Genomic DNA, 23,611 nt, shown 5'->3' on the forward strand with positions numbered 1-23,611 from the left:
TGTCAGCCTCTTTTGGTGACACCCTCACAGACACACCCAGGAACAATACTTTGCGTCCTTCAGTCCAATCAAGTTCACACTCAGTATTCACCATCAGACACTGTGGTAAGTGTTCTTGCCTTAATCACAGTTTCACATTACGATGCACAGGGGCCATAACCTGGACTAATGTGACCACAGAGAGCTTTGTCTGGCCCAATTCATGTTTAATGTCTTCACGAAGAGAGCCCATGCTCTTCAGGCACCGCAAGCCTCACCAGCTCATCATGCACTTGCAGTCACTTGGGTTGCGCACTTGGTACCAGTAGGTATTTGCTTTTGGAATGCCTGGAACTTTTGTGAGGACTGTGTATTTTCTGTCTCTCTCTATATAGAGGTGCTAATATCTGATTAGCACCTCTATATGTATATAGAGGCAGAAATATCTGATTAGGTTTTTTATTTCTAATCTGAGGATTGAATTTAAATATCCTTCAAGAAAGAGCAGACAGATATAAGTTATCAGTGACTCGTAGTTATTTGTAGCTATTGGGAAGACTCATTCTTTGATGGTTCAGAGAAGGCACTGTGCCTTTTTCAGAACTCGGCTGCTGAGTTAAGTTCTCATGTGGAGGCTGACATCTGGTGAAAGATGTCACACCCGTGGGAAGGAGATACATATACCAAACTCAAGCCCACCATCTGTTAAGTGCAGAAGTGGCTTCAGTGCATTAAGGAGACTTCACCTATGCGTCTTTCTACAGAAGGAAAGTGAGCCTGATGCTAAACAATGGTATGTATGATACAGGGTGCTACAAATGGAAGCTTCAGCTGGGCATCAAGAGTGTAGGTAGGCACTTCAAAGTGAGGACAAGAGCAAATGCAAGGACCCACCACTCACAGCCATCTCTTTTTTTTTTGGGGGGGAAAGGGGGAGGGACAGAGTCTCGATCTGTCATCAGGCTGGAGTGCAGTGGCGTGATGTCGGCTCACTGCAACCTCTGCCTCCTGGGTTCAAGCGATTCTCCTGCCTCAGCCTCCCAGTAGCTGGGATTACAGGTACCTGCCACCACGCCTGGCTAATTTTTGTATTTTTAGTAGAGACTTAGCTTCACCATGTTGTCCAGGCTGGTCTTTAACTCCTGACCTCAGGTGATCTGCCCGCCTTGGCCTCCCAAAGTGCTGGGATTGCAGGCATGTCACAGGCCATCTCTTTACAACCACTTAATATTTACAAGTGTGTCCCAGTTTCCAGAGTATGAAAGAAGGGTCCTAAGAACCAGTCTCAATAAGGAAAATTAGATTAGATTTAGCTCATTTGATGCATCTCTACTTTGTTCCTGCTTCTGGGAAGAGAGGGACTTATTAAAGTCTAGCATAAATCTGGTAAGAGCTGGCATATTCAATTTAGTAATTATTATTAATATAAATGATTATTAATAAATGAGAGTTTTGTAACTTAGTAAGAAGGTAGGAAACCATTTGTTTCCTATTGAGGATAATTAACCATGAAGGGAATAATTATAGACCTCATAAGTGAAAATCAAATTAATTTTATATAATTTTTATTTTGTATAGTTTTATGCTCAGAGAAGTATAAAATTTCTACTTATTAGTTTTTTGTAAATAAGAACAAGAAACCTGAAACTGTTCAATAATATAATAATGTTATAAAGATTACATTTAATCTTTTATTTAAATTCTACATTATGGACAGTTGGGAAGAAAATGAGGATAAAAGATTCAGAGACTCAGAGAATCAGGATGGGGTTTACAGAAGAGCTGGGAGTCTGGAGATTTGGGTCCATCTAGTCTGGGCTCCATGATGAGAAATCTTCATGGAGTCATTCCTACTGCGCAAAAAGAGTTTTAAACTCGTTGGCCGCTTTGGTATCATCTATCTGTGAATTAGAATCAGAAGGGAGAGAGGAAGAGTTAGTTTAATGACACTCTCTCAATTATTGATACAAATAGAAAATAAACAAAAGTATAACAAACTTGAACAACTCAATTAAATTGGACTCAAATGATCGTTATTGGACCCTCCACCTAACAAGATCAGCGCACATATTCTTCTCAAGTACTCATGAATCATTTCCCAATATAGAACATATTCTGGCCCGTAATAAAGCTTCAAGAAATTTAAAAGGATTTGAATAATATAAATTTTATTATCTGACCAACATGGACATAAATTAGAAATCAGTAACAGAAAGACCTACAAAAAACTTCCAGATATTTGGAAATCAAACAGCACAATTTTAAGAAACTTAAATCAGAAACTGGAAAGCATTTTGAATTAAATGGAATGAAATGGAAATGAAATGCAACATATCAATATTCGTAGGACATGGCTAAAACATTACTTGGGAAAAGTTGTTTCATGAAAATTTGTGTGACTCTGCCAAAATCAGAAAAGTTGTTTTTGTTTCTTTTTTTTTTTTTTTTTTTTGAGATAGGATCTTGGTCTGCTTCCCAGGCTGGAATGCAGTGGCATGGTCACAGCTCACTGCAGCCTCAATTCCTGGGCTCAAGTGATCCTCCCACTTCAGCCTCCAGAGTAGCTGGGACCACAAGCATGTGCCACCATGCACAGCTATTTTTTGAATTTTTATTTCTGTAGGAACAGGGCCTTGATATGTTGCCTAGGCTGATCTCCAACTCTTGGCCTCAAGTGATTCTCCTGCCTCAGTCTCCCAAAATGCTGGGATTATAGGCATGAGCTATTGCAGTACCTGGGCAAAATTTACTGGAAAAAAAGTCTGTGTTAGAAAAGAAGTAGGGCCGGGTGCAAATTAATGACCTAAACTTTCACCTTCAGAAATAATCCCAAACAGAGAAAGGGAAATAAGAAAGAAGGGCGAATAAAACCCAAAGTAAGCAGAAGAAAAGAAAGAAAAAAGATCAAAGTGAAAACCAATAAAATTGAAGAGAAAAGCAATAGATAAAAATTAAAGAAAAAAAACCTAGTTCTTTAAGAAAAATTGAAAGCCCTCAGTCAGATTTACCAAGAAGCAAAGAGAGAGAGAGAAGACAGAACTTGGCAATGTGCAGGACTAGAGAGGTCATTTCGCTGCAGATTCTACAGACGGTAAAATAATAAAAATGAAACATGGTGAACCCCAAGCCTATAAATGCACGCACTTAGTTGTAATACGTAAATTCTTTGAAAGACAAACTACCAAAGCACACTCAAAAATAAATGTATTAAGCCAGGTGTGGTGGCTCACGCCTGTAATCCCAGCCCTTTGGGAGGCCGAGGAGGGTGGATCACCTGAGGTCAGGAGTTCAAGACCAGCCTGGCCAACATGGAGAAACCTCATCTCTATAAAAATACAAAAATTAGCAACGCATGGTGGTGTGTGCCTGTAATCCCAGCTACTTGGGAGGCTGAGGCAGGAGAATCACTTGAACTCGGGAGGTGAGGTTTGCAGTGAGCTAAGATCGTGCCACTGAACTCCAGCCTGGGCGACAGAGTGAGACTTTGTCTCAGATAATAAGAAATAAATATATAAAATTAATATCTGAGTTTATTAAAGAAATTTAAGATAAACCTTCCCACAAAGCAGCCAGATGGCTCCACTGGTGAATTCTACCATATGTTAAGAATGTTAAGAATAAATAAATATACAAATAAATAATAGCAATTCTACTCAATGTCTTCTAGAAAACTGAAGAGGAGAAGACATTTACTGGCCAATGAATTCCATGAGAGCAGCATTATTTTTATACCAAAATCTGCCATAGATAAAATAAGAATGACAGCTGTAGATTCATATCCTTAATATAGATGCAAAAGTTCTGAACAAAACGTAATTCAATAATATATATAAGCAATATATAATTTATCATGGCCTAGTATGGTTTACTCCAGTAATACAAGGTGTTTTTTAACTTCTGAATATCAATCAGGGATAAATTTATTAACAGACTGAAAAACAGAAACAAATATAACTATTTTTTTAAAAAGTAGGAATTGCATTTGGCAAAATCCAACATCTATTTCTGTTAAAAAGCAAATGAACAAACAAGAAATACTCAGTAAACTTGTAATAGGAAATAAATGATTTCCCAAGTGAGTAAAGAATATTTACAGAAATACTCCAGCTAATATCATCCTTACAGGTAAAAGACAGTTTTACTTAGCGGTAGTTTTTACTCAGAGATAAAAGACCCTTAAGGTGGTGAGCAAGTCAATGATGCCAGCTCTGACTAATAGTTTATTCAACATTGTCCAGGAGATTCTACTCAGAGAAATAAGGCAAGAAAACAGAAGGAAAAGACTTGAAAATATGTCTTTATTTCACAAAAGATCTCCTGGAACTCATCAGTGAGTTTTAAAATGTTGCCAGATACAATATTTTGAAAATCCATTGTATGTCTATTAGCAATAGACAATTCAAATTTAAAGAAACGGCTAGCATTTAAAATGGAATAAAAATATGTGTAAGAGAGGAATAAACCTGACAAAAGATGCATAAATTCTGTACAGCATGTGAAACACCACACAGAACCAGCCTCCTCTGTGGCACCTGCCAGAGTGAACACAGCTTGTCACTTGCCTCCTCTGATTCCAGATCTTGCCTGCTCCTCGGACCCTGAGAATTAATCAAGGCTCTCCAGAAATGAGCCCCTATGAGCCTCTGAAGGCCTCACTCTGGTCTTCCTGGTCCATACCCTTTCACCTTCCGTTAGACTCCAGGGGCTGCCTTAACAACATACAACAAATAAAGTGGCTTCAAAGAACAGATCTTCATTTTCTCACAGTTCTTGAGGCCAAAACTCTGAAATCAGTGTTGGTTCCTGCTGAGGCTGTGCTGGGAACCTTCTCTAGGTCTGTTGTAGCCTCCGGGGAGTGCTGGAGACCCTTGACCTTCCTTGGCTTGGAGATGTGTCACTCCAATTTCTGCTTTCATCTTCACCAGACCTTCTCCCTGGGTCTTCCCACGACTGTCTTCTTATGAAGGACACCAGGCATATTGGATTAGGGGCTCCTCCTACTCTAGTGTGACTACATCAGAACAAATTATATGTGAAAGGACTCTATTTCCAAATAAAGTCACATTCTGGGGTACTGGATTTAGAACTTTAACAGTTTTTTTTTTCTTTTTTTGCGGATACAATCCAAGGCATGACACCTTCCATACACCAATGATATCGTGGGGTTTCACTTGACCACTTCCACTGGGCATGGTTGGACAGTCTGGGGCAGCAGTGGCCTGGGTTTGAGTGACTTCTTGTTCTGCCTCTTACAGGTTTAGTGAATCTAGACAGATCATTATTCTTCTCTGGGCCCTCTTTCCTGACATCTATGAAATGGGTGTGAACGCTGTTTCATCCTTCTAGGATTGTTATAGTGATGAAGTAATGAAGTCACTTCATGGGCAATTCCTATAATCCTATCCCAATGAGTGTTATTAATTCTAGTCGTTATCCATCAAGACACTGTTCAGATTTATGTCTAGTTTTTACTTTCCATGATAACCTGCCTTTTCTAATTTATTGATCGTTTCAAAAGGCATCTATGGCAATGTGTGTTCAACTGTCCTATAGCCTCATTGTCACTGGTCTATGAATCTGTCGCTGAGGGCATTCTCGAAACTCTCAAAAACAGGATCTAAACCTTGCTCTACCATACCTACCCAGAACCTTGTATTTGGCAGCTTTAGCAAGGGTTTGGCAAATTAAGTTCAGAAAATGTACGGACAAATTCTAGAGAGATTATTTCAAAAGCCAACATCGAACAAGACAGGCAATGGTTCCATGGCTTCCCGCTGACTTAGGAAAAAGACAAAGCTCTTTGATATAGCTGACAAAAATCCATGTAGCCCAATTCCCACTTTTCTCTCTGGTTAAGGTCCCCAAGTTCCCATTCACACTCATCTTTGTGCATCGCTGGCCTTGCCTTGTCTTTCATACTCACTATGCTCTCTCCTTTCCCAGGACGTTGGCATAGGTTGCTCCCTCTGTTCTGAACCCTCAACTCCTGCTTTCACCTGGTAAATGCTTCTGTATCCTTCAGGCTCCAAGTCAAATGTGAGGTCCTCAGAAGCCATCCCAACATCCTGGAGTGTGTCAATTCCACCATTTCATGGTCCTCCTCTGCATAGACTTGTAGGTGCTGTAATTTTCCATATGGTTATGGGACTATCTCTCTCCCGTAGCCTGCACAGGCAGAGAGGCAGGGACTGGCTTCCTTATTCCACACTGTGCCCCTCTGTGACCATTACATATTAAAAAAAGGTTTCATTTGTTAATTAATTAGCACCAGAACACATGTGAGCATATTTTACTTTAATATTACCCTTTAGTGGATTACATTAAAAAAGTTTTAGAAACAAATAAAAAAATGTAAATAATTCCTGATTTTATGTGACACCTAAGGAGATGCATCTATGCTCAAGAATATGTTGCTAAATATTATAAAAGAATAATGAAAAATGTGCCCTTTTTTCTAATTATACATATATCACATAAAATATATAAACATACATATTTTCTAATTATATTTATGTATATATACACCATTCATACGGTCATGCATATATGTATGTATATATGAAAGAAAAAGATAAAAGACATTTTTATAAGTTATCTTAAGGAAAGGGTTATTTGAACTAGATAGCCAACAAGGTTTTGTAAGACCATGAAAACCATCAAATATATGCCTTCTTTTGAAGATTACACATCTCTGTTTTTTATCTTGTCTCATCATTTTAACTTAATGTTGTGGTCCTAGTCAATATTTATTGTCTATTAAATATGTATCTCACACAAAGACAATCTTAGCTCACACCAAGTACATATCAAATTTAATAAGGGGCTACTGGTAGCTGGGGATTCATTACCATGGCATGAGTTTTTATATCCAGATGTGGGAAACACAATCATTAAAAATAAATCATCATATGTATTTACATTAAATGGCAACTAAAATACCTAAAAATATAGTTTTCTCATAAAGATTAAATGAGATAATAAGGGAACTATCTTATTAATTTGGGTCACCAACATTTTAACGTAATGTAACACTATGTACACTAAACTAATCATGAGCCATTAATGGTGTGGAATTTTAAAATGCTACACCATCCTATTAAACATTACTGGTAACACTGATAGAACCAGACACAGCTTGAACTTCTGCTCTAACACTTCTTATGCCTGCATGACAATGTCATTATAGTAAAGATAGTTTTATAGGATTGATTTTATATAAATGTGAAGCCTCATAAGGCCCCAGGCTGCAATCATCAGTATGAAGAGTTTACCACAATGCTTCTGTTATATTTTAATATAGATAAGTCGTTGTCACACTGTGTTCCATGGACCCATAGTTTCCACAGCAGACCTGCTTTTTTTAGGGGAAGAACAAAATGGGTGGTGAAGGGTGAGCATCAGGTTGAGTTGGGTTCATGAGTTCCTGCCTGGAGCAGCTACCCTTTTGTCTGGGGATTCAGATAAAAGAGGAATGCAATTGGTAGAATGTCATCTATGACAGACGAGGTATATCTTCTAGGCTGTGTTTGACTATAAACAACAGAAAACCTAAGTCTGAGTGATTTAAAACAAAAAGACATTTGTTCTTCACTTAATGAAATGTCCGGTAGTGGCTACCTCATGGTTGGCTTAGTAATAATTAAAAGATGTTATTAGAAATGCAGGCTCCTTCCACTGTTTCACTCTAACATGCTCAACTTGTTATTTCCTCTCTAATGCTCAATGCCTCACAGTCCCAAAGGGGTTGCCTCAGCTCCAGGCATCACATCATCACAGACAGCATACAATGCAGTACTGAATGTGATACAGGAGAAAAAGATAGCCTATGCATTAAAAAAAATAAGTGAAGGATTTTTCTCCAGAGCTCCCAGTTCTGACTTATGTCCCATTGTCCAGAAATAAGTCAGATGTGGCCCCACAGTCACTGGGAACAGCACTGCAGTAACGATCAGACCAGTCTTGTTAGATCCTCTGGGTTGGGAATATGACTGGCCCAATAACATCAGGTTTAGGAAACTGGGAGACAGTGAGAATGGCTGCTGGTGTTGGCCAAAGGAGGATAACAGCTTTGGGCACAAGTTGGTTTTCTGCTGGGTGGGAGATAATGAAGAAAGTGCTCGTTTGGGAGTTTTGACTGTGAAAAGGTCCTATTAATGAGCACCAGTGAATTATTTTTAAAATTACCGCGGTTATCCTTTTTCCCTTACAAAGAAAAGCAATACAGGTGAAAATTAGCTACTTTCTTAATCTAAACTTGAGATTTCCCAGAGATTCACCTTCTGGTCACCTCTAACCTAAAAATTGGCTCTTTGTATTAAACATGACTACCATAATGCCACATTGCTCTGTTAGCTGCCAAAGGGAGATGTTTAGAAGTGAAATGATAAGAATATTTTTTAATAAACTTTAATTTCAAAGTGTGGACAAATAGAATTCTTTCAAGATCCCCTGTGCAAATCAAGAACCTGGAAGGCAGTTTTAGGTAGAAGGAGGAAATTTTCTTTTACATTGAAAACAAAAAAAGCAAAAGCAAATGTAATTTTACTACAATTTCTGTTGAGTTTTCCAGATTAAATCAATCATTTAGTGACAAATTATTTTTCGTAGTCATTTTTCATAGTCATTTAAGTCATTGATTGGGGTGGTTCACTGAAGTGCTGCCACAATTAAATATTTCACAATCAAGTCAAATAGATCCTTAACAATGATATGCAAAACCCACGTATTGTAGTGGTACTAACTTTGCAAAAACTGCATTCATTTATCATGGATGACTCAGACATGATGTGGAATTCGCTCATGTGCAATCAAGCCTACATGAGCTTATTTTGGTTACATTAATAGCTGAATCTCTGATGAGAGACACCAGGAAATAATAATCAAACTCATTCAGACTTTTCTGCTGTATATGTGAAGCTGCTCAGCAATGATTCATGCATTTGCAACTTTTAGGAGAATAAAAAATATGATGTCATGTGAGGCATGAGCCAATAAGGGTGGATAGAAATGGACACAAACTAATTACAGCAGTGAAGAGCAGGCTTTTCCATCAGCTTCCATTCCAATAAGCCAGAGGTTTGATATATGAGCAATTATGTTACTAGCTGGTGGAACTTCAACTTCTCCTCTGCAAATTAGTGAGCACTATTCTTTTGCAAAACATTTTTATTCATTTGAAAATATTTTAATACATAGATATTTTTAAGTAAAAAAGTAGAAAATACAGATGAGATTAAAAATGGAATGTGATGAAATTTCTACCATCCAGGGAAATAATGTTCTTTACAAATAGCATTTCCAAAATATATCAAAAATACAAAATAGTCAGATGTAGTTTCTCTGCTTTCCTGCTGATTGGTCCTACTCCTGAGTTGACGTGATAAATGTATATTTTACAGACTGATGCCTCTGATGTGAGCTCAACCACAACCCTGTAGATACAACTTTAAAGCTTAGGACTCACTGTAGCTCTGTTCCTCTCTCATTCAGCATCATACACCATTCTGTAATTAGTCACAGGCCAAATCAACAACTTATAAATGTGCCGCTGGATTGAAATCAATAATCCATTAGCACAATGGATTCTCCAGCTTTCTCTAAATCTGGACAATGGTGGTGTTACTTTAAATGGTATCAGCTGGACACGTTTTGACCCCGAAAGCTGACCACTTGCAGGTGACCTCCTGCTGTTCACACAGAACATGGCTGGGCAAGGTTAGTGGTAAGAAACACTAGTTAAAGCTTGAGCAGCAAAGACTGCAACAACGCTTATTCAAAGAAATTGATTTATACTTCACAAAATCATTTCCTTTGGAAATAGGCAAGCAGGTGGCTGCAATTTATATTTGTTAAGTTTTCCCCTGCTGCTTTTATTTTTTTTTATCCTTACGGACAGCTTTTTAACAAAACTGCTAATGTACAAGTATTTATCCTTCTTGTTTTTTTTTTCTTCTATGTCCATTTCCTTCTCTGCCTTCATCATGGAAAGTTTTAATCAAAAATGTAAGCACTATCTACCAGAAACGAAATGAGCAAAATAATCAATGTATTTCCTTTTTTAAAATGTATATCTAAATAGATCACTTGTGGAAAATTATGAGTAAGGACCGATTATGATTCCACATTGTGGAGTTGTGCAATGTTTTCCTGCCAGGCCCTGAGCAATCATTATAATCAAAATTCTTTTTTTTTTTTTTGAAAAACGGAAATGAAATTTCAAACTTTCTAAACAGTGCAAGATGGTGGCAGATAGTAGCTAATGCAAAAAGTTAATGGAAACTTAGATCCATAGATCACACTGAATAATTAGAAAAGAGGATGTGATCTCCCATTGCCTAGTAACTTTATCACATCTTCTCCTCTTTCAGAGATATTGAAGAACCTAAGTTAGTGTTTGCAAAAGTAATGGCAAGATGAGAGCAGAATTAGTTGCTTTGCCTATACTTCTGAGGACAGCAGGAATGGACACCTCCCCTACCCTCATGCGGGTGGGACATCTTTGTGAAGCTTATATTTTCAAGGAAGAATCTTGAAAAAATATCTACGGCACCCCAGCACCGTCATCACTCCTTCCTCAGATTTCACCCAGCTGCCCGCCTAAGCTAGCACATCTGCAGAGGTAACACTGACCCCAGCATGAATATAGACCTCCAAGTGTGCTTCCTCTCAGCTGTATCTAGCCACACTGTTCTTCTACTGTTGGACTAGAGTCTCAACTACTGCCTGCAAGACTTCCCTGCTCCTGTCTTTCAGTCTGAACCCTGCTTACCACCAAGTGTCTACAGGGCATTAGGCAGGTCACCCAACTCCTTGTGCCTCCATCTCTGTATTCAGGATCCTGGAGTAGCTAATCTGTCAGTTCCTTCCACCTGGAGATGCCTGCTTATCATTTCAATAAGGCCATACCTTACAGGTGGGGTTTCTCAACCTTGGCACTATTGCTATTTAGGGTTGGATAATTCTTTATAGCAGGAAGCTGTGCTGTACACTGTAGAATACAGCATCCCTGACCTCTGCTAACTAGATGACAGTCATGCCTTCTCCTAAGCTTGGACAATAAAAAATGTTGCCAAGTATTGCCAAATGTTCCCTGGGGAGCAAATGGCCTCAGGTTGAGACTTGCTGCTGTAGATAACCACATTATCATTTGAGAGTTTTAACAGGGGGCGTTGTGATTCCTTACCTTACAACAACAACTTGGAACAGTAGGTTAAGCCTTGACCGCAGACAATTACAAGACAATTATAAAGGCTTTCCCTGCTAGGCCTCACTGGGGTGGGGGAAGCTGCTCCCCTCAAACCAGCTTTAGGGCATAGCTAGTGCTTTGCAGACTCTGAAGGGAGCTGCACTCCAGTCCTCAGACCTCCCTGGCTCACCATGCCTTTTCATGGTTCCATTCCCAGCCCGAGTGACTCCATGTTTAGGTCTCGATCTGAGGCAATGGGCCCAGGTCTTCTTCAGAGGCCTCTGCCTGGTCCTCCTTATGAGGGTCAGAGAGAGGCAGGGAAATGGTGAGATGCTTCCATTCTGACTCAGTGCCCAGCTGTTTCCCACTCCTATACCTCCTCCTCCTCCACAGGCCCCAGGGTCCATAACACTTCAGGAGCCTTTTGTGGGGGGCTCCCTCAACAGGGGTATGTAGTCTTCCTGCACTCTACTCTGAAGTTCCATGGGGGAAAATTACACAGAGGGAGTAGGCATTTTCTTTGGTTTTAGACTTTTGCTTATACCCTGGCAGTAAGTGATTGAAGGCTTAATGCTTCCATTTCTGGCTTGTGTCTTTGATTGGCTGCTCTTACCCCCCAAGAAACGGAAAGAGCTCAGGACACTTGCATGCCTGCACTTCTATGGGCATGCACACATGTTCTCTCTCTCCCTCCCCCAACCTTCCCTCCTTCCCTCCTTCCCCCTGTCTCCAGCTCAGCTAAGGTATGCTTGGCTAAGCACTTAGGAGAAACCACACACTGGATGCCTGGAACTGCTAATTACCTTGCCGAGAGAATAGAAGTCCAGGCTAGGTTTTAAGGAGAAGCTGGATCTTTGTTCTCTTTTTAAAAACATTACCCTCTTGGTGAATATTGGCCCTTGTATTGTACAGCTCTCCCGGACCTAAAGCCCAGTGGCCTATCCAGCCTGAAGCCTGCAGTTCAGCCCCTCTGAGCACTGCAGAAGTAAACTCCTGCTGCCCAGGGCTTTCAGGCATTCTGGCCCTAATGCCTCTTCCTTTTGCACACCCCACCCTGCTCAAGGTCAAAGCCTGGGCCATGAGTCAAGGGCAGCTGTCCCAGTCTTATTCATTAGACTACCTGTGTCTGAATAGCCTGTTAGTCAAGTGATAGGTTAAATCCATTGAGAAAGGTGGACTGTAAAAGAACTTAATTAAGATGACCAAACACTTTATCATTCAAACTGGGATGCCTTTGAAAATGAAAGGGCTAGAGTTAATAACTATAGCAAGACAGTGATTGCAAATTGGCCAGGCCATAGAATCCCCTGGTGACAATGACATTTTCTGCAGAAAAGAGACTACTCTATGGATTCTTAGATATCAATAGTGTGTGTGCTAAAGTGAGGTGGACCAATTTCCCCCAAAATCCTTACAAAGAGTCAAGAAAGCCAAAATTTGAGGATAAACAAGTTGATAAACCACTAACTAAATTAACAAAGAAAAATGGAGAGAAGATCCAAGTAAGCACAATCAGAAATGACAAAGGTGAAATTACAACCAATCCCACAGAAATACAAAAGAGCCTCAGAGACTATTATGAACATCTCTATGCACACAAAATAGAAAATCTAGAGGAAATGGGTAAATTCCTGGAAACATGCAAACTCCCAAGATTGAATCAGGAAAACATAGAAACCCTGAACAGACCAATATCGAGTTTCAAAATTGAAGCAGTAATTTTTAAAAAAGCCCTATCAACCAAGAGAAAGCCCCACAATAGATGAATTCACAGCCAAATTCTACTGGACATACGAAAAAGAGCTGCTACCAATCTTCTGAAATTATTCCAAAAAAGAGGAGAGGGACTCCTCCTGAACTTTCTGTGAAGCCGGCATCATCTTGATACCAAAACGTGGTAAAGACATAATGAGATATTTGAAACTATACATCCAACAAAAGTCTAATACCCAGAATTTGGAGGGCACTTAAAAAATCAACAGCCAAAAACAAATAACCCCATTTAGAAATGGGCAAAGAACACAAACAGGCACTTCTCAAAAGAAGATATACAAGTGAATAACAAACATGTGAAAAAATGCTCCACATCAGTAATCATCAGAGAAATGCAAATCAAAACCACAATGAGATATCATCTCACACCAGTCAAATTGGTGGTTATTAAAAAGTCAAAAAACAACCGATGCTGGTAAGGCTCCAGAGAAAAGAAAGGGAATGCTTATAGACTATTGGTGGGAATGTAAATGACTTCAGCCACTGTGAAAAGCAGTTTGGATATTTCTCACATAACTAAAAACAGAACTACCATTCAACTCAGCAATTCCATTACTGGGTATATACCCAAAATAATATAAATCATTTTATCAAAAAGACACATGCATTTGTAGGTTCACCACAGCACTATTCACAATAGCAAAGACATGGAACCAACCTATGTGCCCATAATTGGTGGTTTAGATAAAGAAAATGTACATATACATCATGGAATACTAAACAGCCATAAAAAAGAATGAAATTATGTCCCTTATGGCAACATGGATGTAGCTGGAAGCCATGATCCTAAGCAAATTAACACAAGAATAGAAAACCAAATACCACATGTTCTCAATGATAAGTGGGAGTTAAGCATTAGGTACACACAGACACAAAGATGGCAACAATAGACATTGGGGAGAGGGAGGGAGACAGGTAGAGGTTGAAAAACTTATTATTGGGTACTATGCTCACTACATAAGTGATGAGATTTGTACCCCAGACCTCAACATCACACAATATACCCAGGTAACAAACCTGCATATATACTATCTGAATCTAAAACAAAAGTTTAAAAAATAAAAATAGAAATGTTTTTTAAAAACCCCTGTAATTAACATGTAAAAATGTATATTTCAGGCTGAGCATGGTGGCTCATGCCTCTAATCCTAGCATTTTGGGAGGCCGAGGCGGGTGGATCATGAAGTCAGGAGATGGAGACCACCCTGGCTAACATGGTGAAACCCCAACTCTACTAAAAATACAAAACATTAGCCAGGCATGGTGGCACGTGCCTGTAGTCCTAGCTACTCAGGAGGCTGAGCCAGGAGAATGGCTTGAACCCCAGAGGCAGAGGTTGCAGTGAGCTGAGATCGCGCCATTGCACTCCAGCCTGGGTGACAGAGCGAGACTCCGTCTCAAAAAAAAAAAAAAACTATATTTCAGTTTCTCTTAAAAAGAAGAAACATGTAGTAACTCCAAGCTCATGTTCCCAATCTGAGCTGTGTGTGCAGCTGCTCCAGCCAGCCAAAGGATCTGCTCTGCTGACACCACAGTCGCTATTCCTGTCATTCCACTTGTCTCACCTAAGTAATTTAAGTCTCCTCTCTGGTGGCTGTTGGTGTTTATTTGGAACTTGTTATACTCTTCTGCCCTGATATCTCTCCTGTGAGCTTCTTTACTTCCTAAAGTCTCATCCCACAATCTCTCCCAGACTCTTAATGCAGATTCTCAGCTTGTGCCTGCAAACGAGCTGCCATCCGTCCTGAGCAGAATGAGAAGAGCCAGGGGCCCAAAGAGGAGAGGAGAGGACAGGGCAGGCTGCCAGGGGACCTCTGAGGAGCTGACAATGTGGCCAAGGGGGCAAGGGTCTTTCTATCCTTTCTCCATGGATTTTCCTACCTTGTCCTCTTCTCTGACTAGTGCCTGCTGAGGGCAAAATGGGGACATCATTTGTGTTGTGCTGGGCTTGTCAGTCGTTCTACCGGCCATTCTTCCAACTTCAGTCACAGTCCTGGGGTCTGGGAGTCCTTATAATTTTGTGGCATGGAATTCCTCCACACTCCTTCCTCTGTGCATCCACAGCACGTCTTGAAGGTCCCTTTAGTTTTATTCTGCCACTTGCTAGTTTGTCTGTGTGTCATCCTTCAGTCTTGCAATTTCCTTACCCTCATATCCAATGCTGGAACAAGTTTTATTATTCCAGCCACTAAATGCCCTCCTCTCTCCACCTAATTTCCACCACCCTACTCCTTGCTCACCTATTCTTATGCTTGGACTATTGCAGTAGCTTCTTAAGTTCACCACAAGTCTACTCTTGTCCTGGCAATCCATTATCCACACAGGATTTATGGTGACTTTTTAAACTACATTACCTCACTCTCTTGCATAAAAACCTACCCATGAGTTTCTCAATGCATATAACACCATCAACTGTAGTCAGCCTCTCCAGTCTACTCCATCCATCTTCATCTCTTTCACCTTCCAAAAAATGGGTTTCTTCACCTTTCTCAAACACTCCAGGCAATGCCTTTGCATTTCCTGTTCCCTGTTTCTGGAATTATTTTCCTTTAGGTTAGCACATCTGGCTTTTACATTCTCCTGGTCTCTGTTACATGTCCATTCTTCAGAGAGCCCTTCTTGGAAGACTCTCAATTAAAGCAGCACCATAACTTCACTTTATGAAGTTAAAAGTGATGTTATGAAGTAAAAAGTGATTTTTTTACTTCATAACTTCATAATTGGAGTAAAGTGATGGAAATAATTGGAGTAAAGTTCTCCAATTGTTGTCTCCTTTTTTTTTTTTTTGTCGTTGTTTGTTTGTTTGTTTGCTTGTTTTTTGAGATGGAGTCTCACTCTCTCACCCAGGCTGGAGTGCAATGGCACAATCTCGGTTCACTGCAACCTCTGCCTCCCAAGTTCAAGTGATTCTCCTGCTTCAGCCTCCCAAGTAGCTGGGATTATAGGGGCCAGCCACCACACCTGGCTAATTTTCATATTTTCAGTAGAGGGGATTTCACCACGTTGACCAGGCTGGTCTTGAACACCTGACCTCAGGTGATCCACCCACCTCGGTCTCCCAAGGTGCTGGGATTACAGGGGTGAGCAACTGCACCTGCCCAGGTTTTTTTTTTTTAACCCTCTGAAGCCATCTTATTTTTTCATTTACCCATGCCCAGTTGACCACTCCCACAGAATATCAGCTCCATATCAGCAGAGATCTTGCCCCTCGTACACAACTGTATTCCCAATGACTAATTAGTAGAAAGTGACCCTCACAAATATTTGTGGGATGGTGAATGTTTTGCAGTAACTATAAGTTGTCTCAAGAATTACTGTTTTATTTTTTATGTTTTTCAAGAGATAGGGTCTCGCTCTGTCACCCAGGCTTGAGTGTAGTGTTGCAATCATGGCTCACTGTAGCCTCAAAATTCTGGCAGTGATTCTTCTGCTTCAGCCTCCCAAGCAGCTGGGAGTACAAATGTACCCACCACACCTGGATAATTGTATTAGTCCGTTCTCATACTGCTAATAAAGGCATACTCAAGACAAGGTAATTTATGAAGAAAAAGAGGTTTAATAGACTCACAGTTCCACATGGCAGGGGAGGCCTCACTCTCATGGTGGAAGGTGAAAGAGGAACAAAGGTACATCTTACGTGGCGGCAAGTAAGAGAGCGTGTGTAGGGGAACTGCCCTTTATCAAACCATTAGATCTCATGAGACTTATTCACTATCATGAGAACAACATAGAAAAAACCCGCTCTCAGGAATCAATTATCTCCCACCATGTCCCTCCTACAACACATGCAGATTATGGGATTCAAGATGAGATACGGGTGGCACAGCCAAACCATATCATTACTTTTTGTATTTTTTGTAGAGACAGAGACACCATATTACCCAGGCTGGTGTTGAACTCCTGGGCTCAAGTGATCCTCCTGCCTCAGCCTCCCAAAGCACTGGGATTATAGGCGTGAGCCACTGTGCCTGGCCAATAATGACTGTTAACTACTCAAATTACTGTAAATTTCTCTTTTGTGGGGCTCATGTCACCCTCTTTCCTCCCCAGAATCCAGCATGGTTCCTGGAACAGGGAAGCTGCTGATATCACACGTATTTGTGGAGGCAAATGCTGGCTGCCTAAAAACACTTTATATTTACTCATGGCCATGAAACTGTCTCTGGCCAATGAAATGTGAGAATTAACTCACATACAAACCAGTTCTGGGGCTTGACTCTCTACCCTACTCTTCCCTAACTCTGTACACATTGGATCTCATGGTGAGATTGAGCCTCTGGTCAATGTGGGTCCCTACAGTAAGGATGCTTCCCTCCAAATAACAAAAACCCCAGGTTGGATATGTGGCAGAAACATGAAATAATCTCTTGTGATGTTGTTTATATTTTATGGTGCTGAGATTGTGGAGCTGTTTGTTACAAGGGCATAACCTAGCCCATCCTTACTAATGTAGCATATCCACCTACTAGACACTATCTTAGAAGTGACTGACACAAAATGTACAAGACAGCCTCTTCCTCTGAGGAAATTAAGGCTGGTGAGAATGACTGATAGAAATTAAATGAGGTGCCTAGATGATTGATGCAGTCAGTGAACAGCATAACTTAACACACTTGCACTCCCTACTCAAAATACATTTCTCTAACTGCACATTTATGTTTCTTTTCCACAGCATTGGGTTGCTGTTGAACACCTCCCATACAATACATTATAAAACTATTTCATCTTTTTGTATGTTTATGTTGTTTGATCACCGTCATCAACCACAGAAGTTGTTGGAATGAAAATCACTAGAACCCTCTCCAATGTGTCCTTAGCTCCTATCATCCCATAGACTTAGTTTCCTCATCCATGGATATAAATTAGAAAACAGCAAGAAAAATTGTAGCCAGCCGAATGCCCAGCACTTGAAAAATTTACACACAACTTTCTAAAATCAACCTTGACTTGGAAAGATACCCAGGTTCTCTTCACCCTTACTTCTGAAAGTATCTGAAGGTAATAAGATACCAAAAGTCTACAACCGTCACAGGAAGTTAGCAAGTTTATAAAAGTTTATATACATGCACATGGCATATGTATTGGCATATGTGTGTGCATGTGTGTTTGTGTGTGTGTGTTTATATTCTCTGGTACCATTCTTTTTATGTATTTACTTGGCCACGGCTGACCTCTCCCACAGGAGGACCAGCTACATAGCAGCAGACAGCTTGCACCTTGTTAGCCCCTATACCCCAACTGGGAGAAAGGACACTAAGCTGGCAGCAGTAGGTTTATGATGGGATTAAAGGCACCAGGTAATTTTTGTTGATATTTTTAAACAAAAATATGTTACTATTGCATTTTTAAGAGAAATTATACTAAAGGAACTGTTTTACCTTAATGTGTTCTGAGCCTCCTATTTGGGAAATTTTACATCTTTTTAATTTTTCTTTCACCTTTTAGAGATGGAGTCTGTCAGCCAGGCTGGAATGCAGTGGCGTGGCCATGGCTCACTGCAGCCTCCACCTCCTAGGTCTAAGTGAGCTCTGCACTATGCCTGGCCAGATTTTATAGCTTTCACACTGAGTTGTCTAAGACAGAGCAAGCCATCTGTGCAGGACTGTCTGAGATCAGAAGCACATATCAGGGTGAGCTCCCCTGCATAGTCTTATCTCCTTGTTGTGGCATCCTGGGGCAAGAGAAGGAGAGGAATTCTGAGAGCACGTTTTACCTCAAACAGTGATAGGATTGCTTGAGAGTGCCTGTCAGGGCCATCAGCAGGATAAACAGTAGCACTGTATTATGAAGTTTTAACTCAAGTTTAGAATACTATGATGGCATTTCTAGAGCTAATAGCATTGACGTTATCACTGTTGCTTCCCAAATATGCATATTTTGAGAAGTTAATGAAATATTTCTTATTCTATACCAATTTTTAATGCTAACAAGATTACCAATGTTATTCACAGTTGTTCATATATGAAAGCCGCATTTCTAGATAACTAATAGGAAAAACTTGTCTATCCAACCCCAAGGCAACAATTACACAAATTAGTTTGCTTTGCTTTTAAGCAACAAGCAGACTATCAAAATATTAATCTGATAAACTACAAAGTAAATTAGATTAAGCAAAGTAGCTACTTTGTATTTTTATGTTTTAAATATTGTCATGTGCTTATCAGAGAAGTAATTCCTATATAGTAATTTATTTCTGCATTTTAATGATGTTAAAATCCTCTTTACACTTATCGTTTAAAAATTTTAATATTTCTTAAATGTATAGAAATAAATTTTAATTTGGCACGCAAATTAAAACTGGCATTTATACTCAAAGGAGAAAAGGATGACTCTCTAGAAGAATATAAATATTGGCTAAACATAGGCTTTATATTTTTGTTCTTTTTTTTTTTTTTTTTTGAGACGAAGTTTCACTCTTGTTGCCCAGGCTGGAGTGCAAAGGCATGATCTCGGCTCACCTCAATCTCTGCCTCCCTGGTTCAAGCAAGTCTCCTGCCTCAGCCTCCCGAGTAGCTGGGATTACAGGCATGTGCCACCATGTTCAGCTAATTTTGTATTTTTAGTAGAGATGGGATTTCTCCATGTTGGTCAGGCTGGTCTCAAACTCTTGACCTCAGGTGATCTGCCTGCCTCAGCCTTCCAAAGTGCTGGGATTATAGGCGTGAGCCACCACGCCTGGCCTGTTCCTTTTTAAGATGGGAGAGTTGACACAGAGTTTATATCTAAACATACATTAAGAAAGCACACATTTGGTCCAATTGTTCCATTATGCAGTGTTTAGCTTTGTGCTCTCTTGCAATTTTACCATTGATAAAAGCATCCCTAATCATGAGGTTCAGTGTTATTCACCTGGTTCCCCAAATTCTATCCCTTCTTGAATGGCACAGTGGTGGCCATGCTGATAGTGTATGAAAATAATAGGGCAATTGGAAATGGTTTTGAAATTTCTATCATATAAGCTCATAGTTAAATTTTCTGAGTTCTATTAACTATGATCTGGAAAACTATCTTTAATCTCTGGGAAACTTTGGCTATGTTTGAAAGAGATATTTCCAAAATTGGCTTTCTCAGTATGTACAAAATAACTTCTTAAGCAATGAAATTCACTTTTGTATGTAAGCAGATGTGAGCAATCATAATGGGTGGTTTGAAAAATGTTTTCTATTCGTTTATGATCAGAGAATATCTACCAGAGTCAGATATTAATGTTAATAATAATAATTATTATTATTAATCTCATTCAGCATATATTTATTGAGGAATCACCTATGCCCCATGGTCTGTAGCTGTGACAGTCACTAGTTGCAACTGCCACCCCAGCACATACAACTTCATTCTCTCTCTTTTCCACTAACAAAATCCTCGGTCTGAGCTAGCTATGCAGAATAAACACTGCATTTTCCTGCCTCTCTTGCAGCTAAATATAGTCCCATGATTAAGTTCTTGCAAGTAGGATATGGAAAAATAATGTATCCCTCTTATGGGCCATAGCTATTTTTTTTTTTTAAAGAACAGAGTCTCTTCTCTATGCCCCTCTTCTCACTCGTTGTCATAGGGTGTGGAGATGCATCATCTTGAAACATTTCGATAATAAAAATATCCTAGGGATGGGTAAATGACAAAACAGAAAATGTCCTCTTATGACCATTTCTTCCTGAATGCCTCATGTTTCCAGATATAAGTACAAACAACCATCACTTACACACCAGGTAAAACCAGCATCGTTATCCCTTCGTGAAAGCTATGGAGGCTGGCAATCAAGGGGCTAAAATACACAGACAGTTCCTGGTGACATCAGAATGGGAAGTGGGATTTACCAATGGAGATTCCTGGCAGGGCAGTGATGGGGATAGATAATAGAGTGTTAAAAGGAAACAAAGGCACATTTCCTGTGAGAACCCGTATTTCATTCTAGCTGGCAGCGAATTTAATGGTAGGAGATGGTGAGATAATCTGTCAGTGTTGAAGAGGACTTTAAACTCCTGAGTAGCAAGTAAAAATCTCAGATTCAAGCAACATTGCTGGTCATAAAGCATTTTCCCTCCGCTCATTCTTCCCCACAATCCCTCCTGCACAGGTAGGCAGTGCTATTGCTTACCCCTTGCAACTGGAGAAATAACACACAGATGATATATTAGCCTGTTTTTGCACTGCTATAAATAACTACCTGAGACTGGGTAATTTATAAAGGAAAGAGGCTTAGTTGGCTCATTATTCCACAGGCTGTACAGAAAGCATGGCTGGGAAACCTCAGGAAACTTTCAATGATGGCGGAAGGTGAAGGGGAAGCAGGCACATCTTACATGGCTGGAGCAGGAGGAAGAGAGAGAGAGGGTGGGGGAAAGTGCTACACACTTTTAAACAACCAGATCTCGTGAGAAATCTATCATAAGAACAGCAATAAGGGGGAATATCTACCCCTATGATGCCATCACCTCCCACCAGGCCCCTCCTCCATCACTGGGGACTACAGTTCAACGTGAGATTTGGTCAGGGACACAAGCCCAAACCACATAGGAAGGCTTCAACTTTCCTTATCATGAAGCACTTGCTTTATTTGTAGTTAAGGACTGTATCTCCGTCGACGTGCATTTGGTCCCAATCCAGCTGTGGCATAGTCCAACTTTTCTTCAATGTGACAGCTGAGAAAAAAAAATGCATTTCCCTTCAACAAGCTATAGAGAAGCTGAGAAAAACACTCACTGACCCTGCCTCACCTTGGAAGCCAGGTTGCTTGGTTAGACTTTATGTCTGCCATGAGTTGAGTTACCTTTTGTAATTTTTTTAAGTGAACGAGGAAGAGTTCTAGCATGGCAGGATTGGCAGAAGCTCACGCTGTTGGTTCTCAATGTACACACAGTGAGCCGAACAGGAGAAAAACCCTCATGTTGACTGCCCAGAACTCTCTAAACCTTCCCTGACAGCTGTTGATGCAGGTTAAAACGTGGCATTCTGGGAAGCGGAAGAGACAGCATACAGACGCGATTTCTGATAAAGTTTGGTCATTAAAATTGAGAATTTTGTACCTTTTTATTATTCAAGAAGATGGTTCCATTGGTCTTTCATAAAATGAACTCAGCAAACATCAATAGCTCAGTAATCAATGTCTGGCTATTGGGCCAGGTAAAGAACTAAATTAATAAATACAAGATTGAAGACAAAGAACACTGCTAATTTTCTGAAGACCGGCTTCTGACTTTATACCATGTGAACGGGCAAGTTCCACCTGTCCTCACAGGCAGTACAGGATTTCCTTGTAGCTATAGAGGAAGGGAGGTGTTTTTGTTGACATTTAAATCACATTTAAAGCTGTTGCTTTAATTAGGGCTTTTGTCTTAATCCCATTATGCTGAAAACCTCGTGGGGCACAGGCATCATTAGGGATGTTTAGTGGTAGATGGAACACAGGTTTTGGTTTATGTATGGACTTGGGTTCACGCTCTGCTTTATCCTAAACAATAATAATTCTTAACCAACTATTATCAACCTGAAATTACATATATATATACATATATATGCACAACTGGGACCATACAAACCCAAATTAGAGATAATTAAGCCATGAGTAATAATACTCTTTTTCTTTTCTTTTTTTTTTTTAAGATGGAGTCTCGCCCTGTAGCCCAGGCTGGAGTGCAGTGGTGCAATCTCAGCTCACTGCAACCTCTGCCTCCCGGGTTCAAATGATTCTCCTGCCACAGCCTCCTGAGTAGCTGAGAATACAGGCACCTGCCACCACGCCCAGCTAATTTTTGTATTTTTAGTAGAGACAGAGTTTCACCATGTTGGCCAGGCTGGTCTCAAACTCCTGACGTCGTGATCCGCCTGCCTCTTTTTGAGTACAATTTTCAAATATTTCTATGTTTAGTACCTTGCATGGAATCCTCTGGGATTCAGATTTTTCAAAATTAGAATATGAAGCAGCTAATTTCAAAGTTCATTCTGAGAGAATTTTACCAGTTGGTTACAGAAAGTCCATTTTGAGCAGTATGATAAAGGCATACTTCTAAATACATTTTAGATAAATTGAGAGCATTTTGACCCTTGACTGATTATTTTACTTGCATGGTAGTTCCATAATAAAAGAACGCTCTGTGTGGAAGTGCAGAAAATAGAGATGAGGATATTTTAAGAATCTTCTAGTCTCTTTTGTGCCCATCTGTATTAGTAAGGAGAAACAGAACCAATAGGGTAGATACATAGACAGATATAGAAAGATATATGAGGAGACATATTAAGGAAATTGACTTACATGATTATGGAGGCTGAGAAGTCCCATGGCAGGACACTTGTAAGCTGGAGACCCTGGGATGATAGTAGCGTGGCTCAGTCCAAGTTCTAAAGAATCAGAACCAGGGAAGCTGATGGTGTAATTCTCAATGTGAGTCCGAAGGCCTGAGAACCTGGGTGGGGCTGCTTGTGTAAGTCTCAGAGTCTCAAGGCCAGGGAGAATGGAATTCTAATGTCCAAAGTTCAGGAGATGAAGAGTGTCCCAGCTCCAGGAGAGAACAAAAGGAAACCCTTTTCTCTCTATTTTTGTTTTATCCTAGTCCACAGCTGCTTGAATGATGCTCTCCCACATTGAGGGTGGGTCTTCCCCACATGATCCACTGACTCACACACCAGTCTCCTCTGGAAACACCCTCACGACCCACTGATCAGTGATACTTTACC

At 40.1% G+C, this 23,611-nt stretch overlaps 1 long non-coding RNA gene across 1 annotated transcript, besides 2 other annotated features; it reads right to left on the bottom strand.

The window, feature by feature from the left end:
* Positions 1 to 1,650: 1,650 nt before the first annotated feature.
* On the bottom strand, positions 1,651 to 23,453 carry LOC105370064 (uncharacterized). The gene is made up of 2 exons (XR_001749391.2): positions 23,190 to 23,453; positions 1,651 to 1,880 (listed from the first exon to the last, which is right to left on the bottom strand). It is a non-coding gene; the product is annotated as an uncharacterized LOC105370064 (long non-coding RNA).
* Positions 16,354 to 16,504: a silencer, noted in NCBI's record as "fragment chr12:127683373-127683523 (GRCh37/hg19 assembly coordinates)". NCBI's record gives its function as "represses an EF-1alpha promoter that drives an FKBP-Casp9 reporter gene in an ReSE screen in HepG2 liver carcinoma cells {active_cell/tissue: HepG2}" and the evidence as "EXISTENCE:reporter gene assay evidence [ECO:0000049][PMID:32094911]".
* Positions 18,447 to 18,647: a silencer, noted in NCBI's record as "peak2034 fragment used in MPRA reporter construct". NCBI's record gives its function as "represses an SCP1 promoter by STARR-seq MPRAs in K562 erythroleukemia cells {active_cell/tissue: K562}" and the evidence as "EXISTENCE:reporter gene assay evidence [ECO:0000049][PMID:32103011]".
* Positions 23,454 to 23,611: the final 158 nt, after the last annotated feature.

The sequence above is a fragment of the Homo sapiens genome, chromosome 12 (genome assembly GCF_000001405.40).
Source record: "Homo sapiens chromosome 12, GRCh38.p14 Primary Assembly".
NCBI lineage: Eukaryota > Metazoa > Chordata > Mammalia > Primates > Hominidae > Homo > Homo sapiens.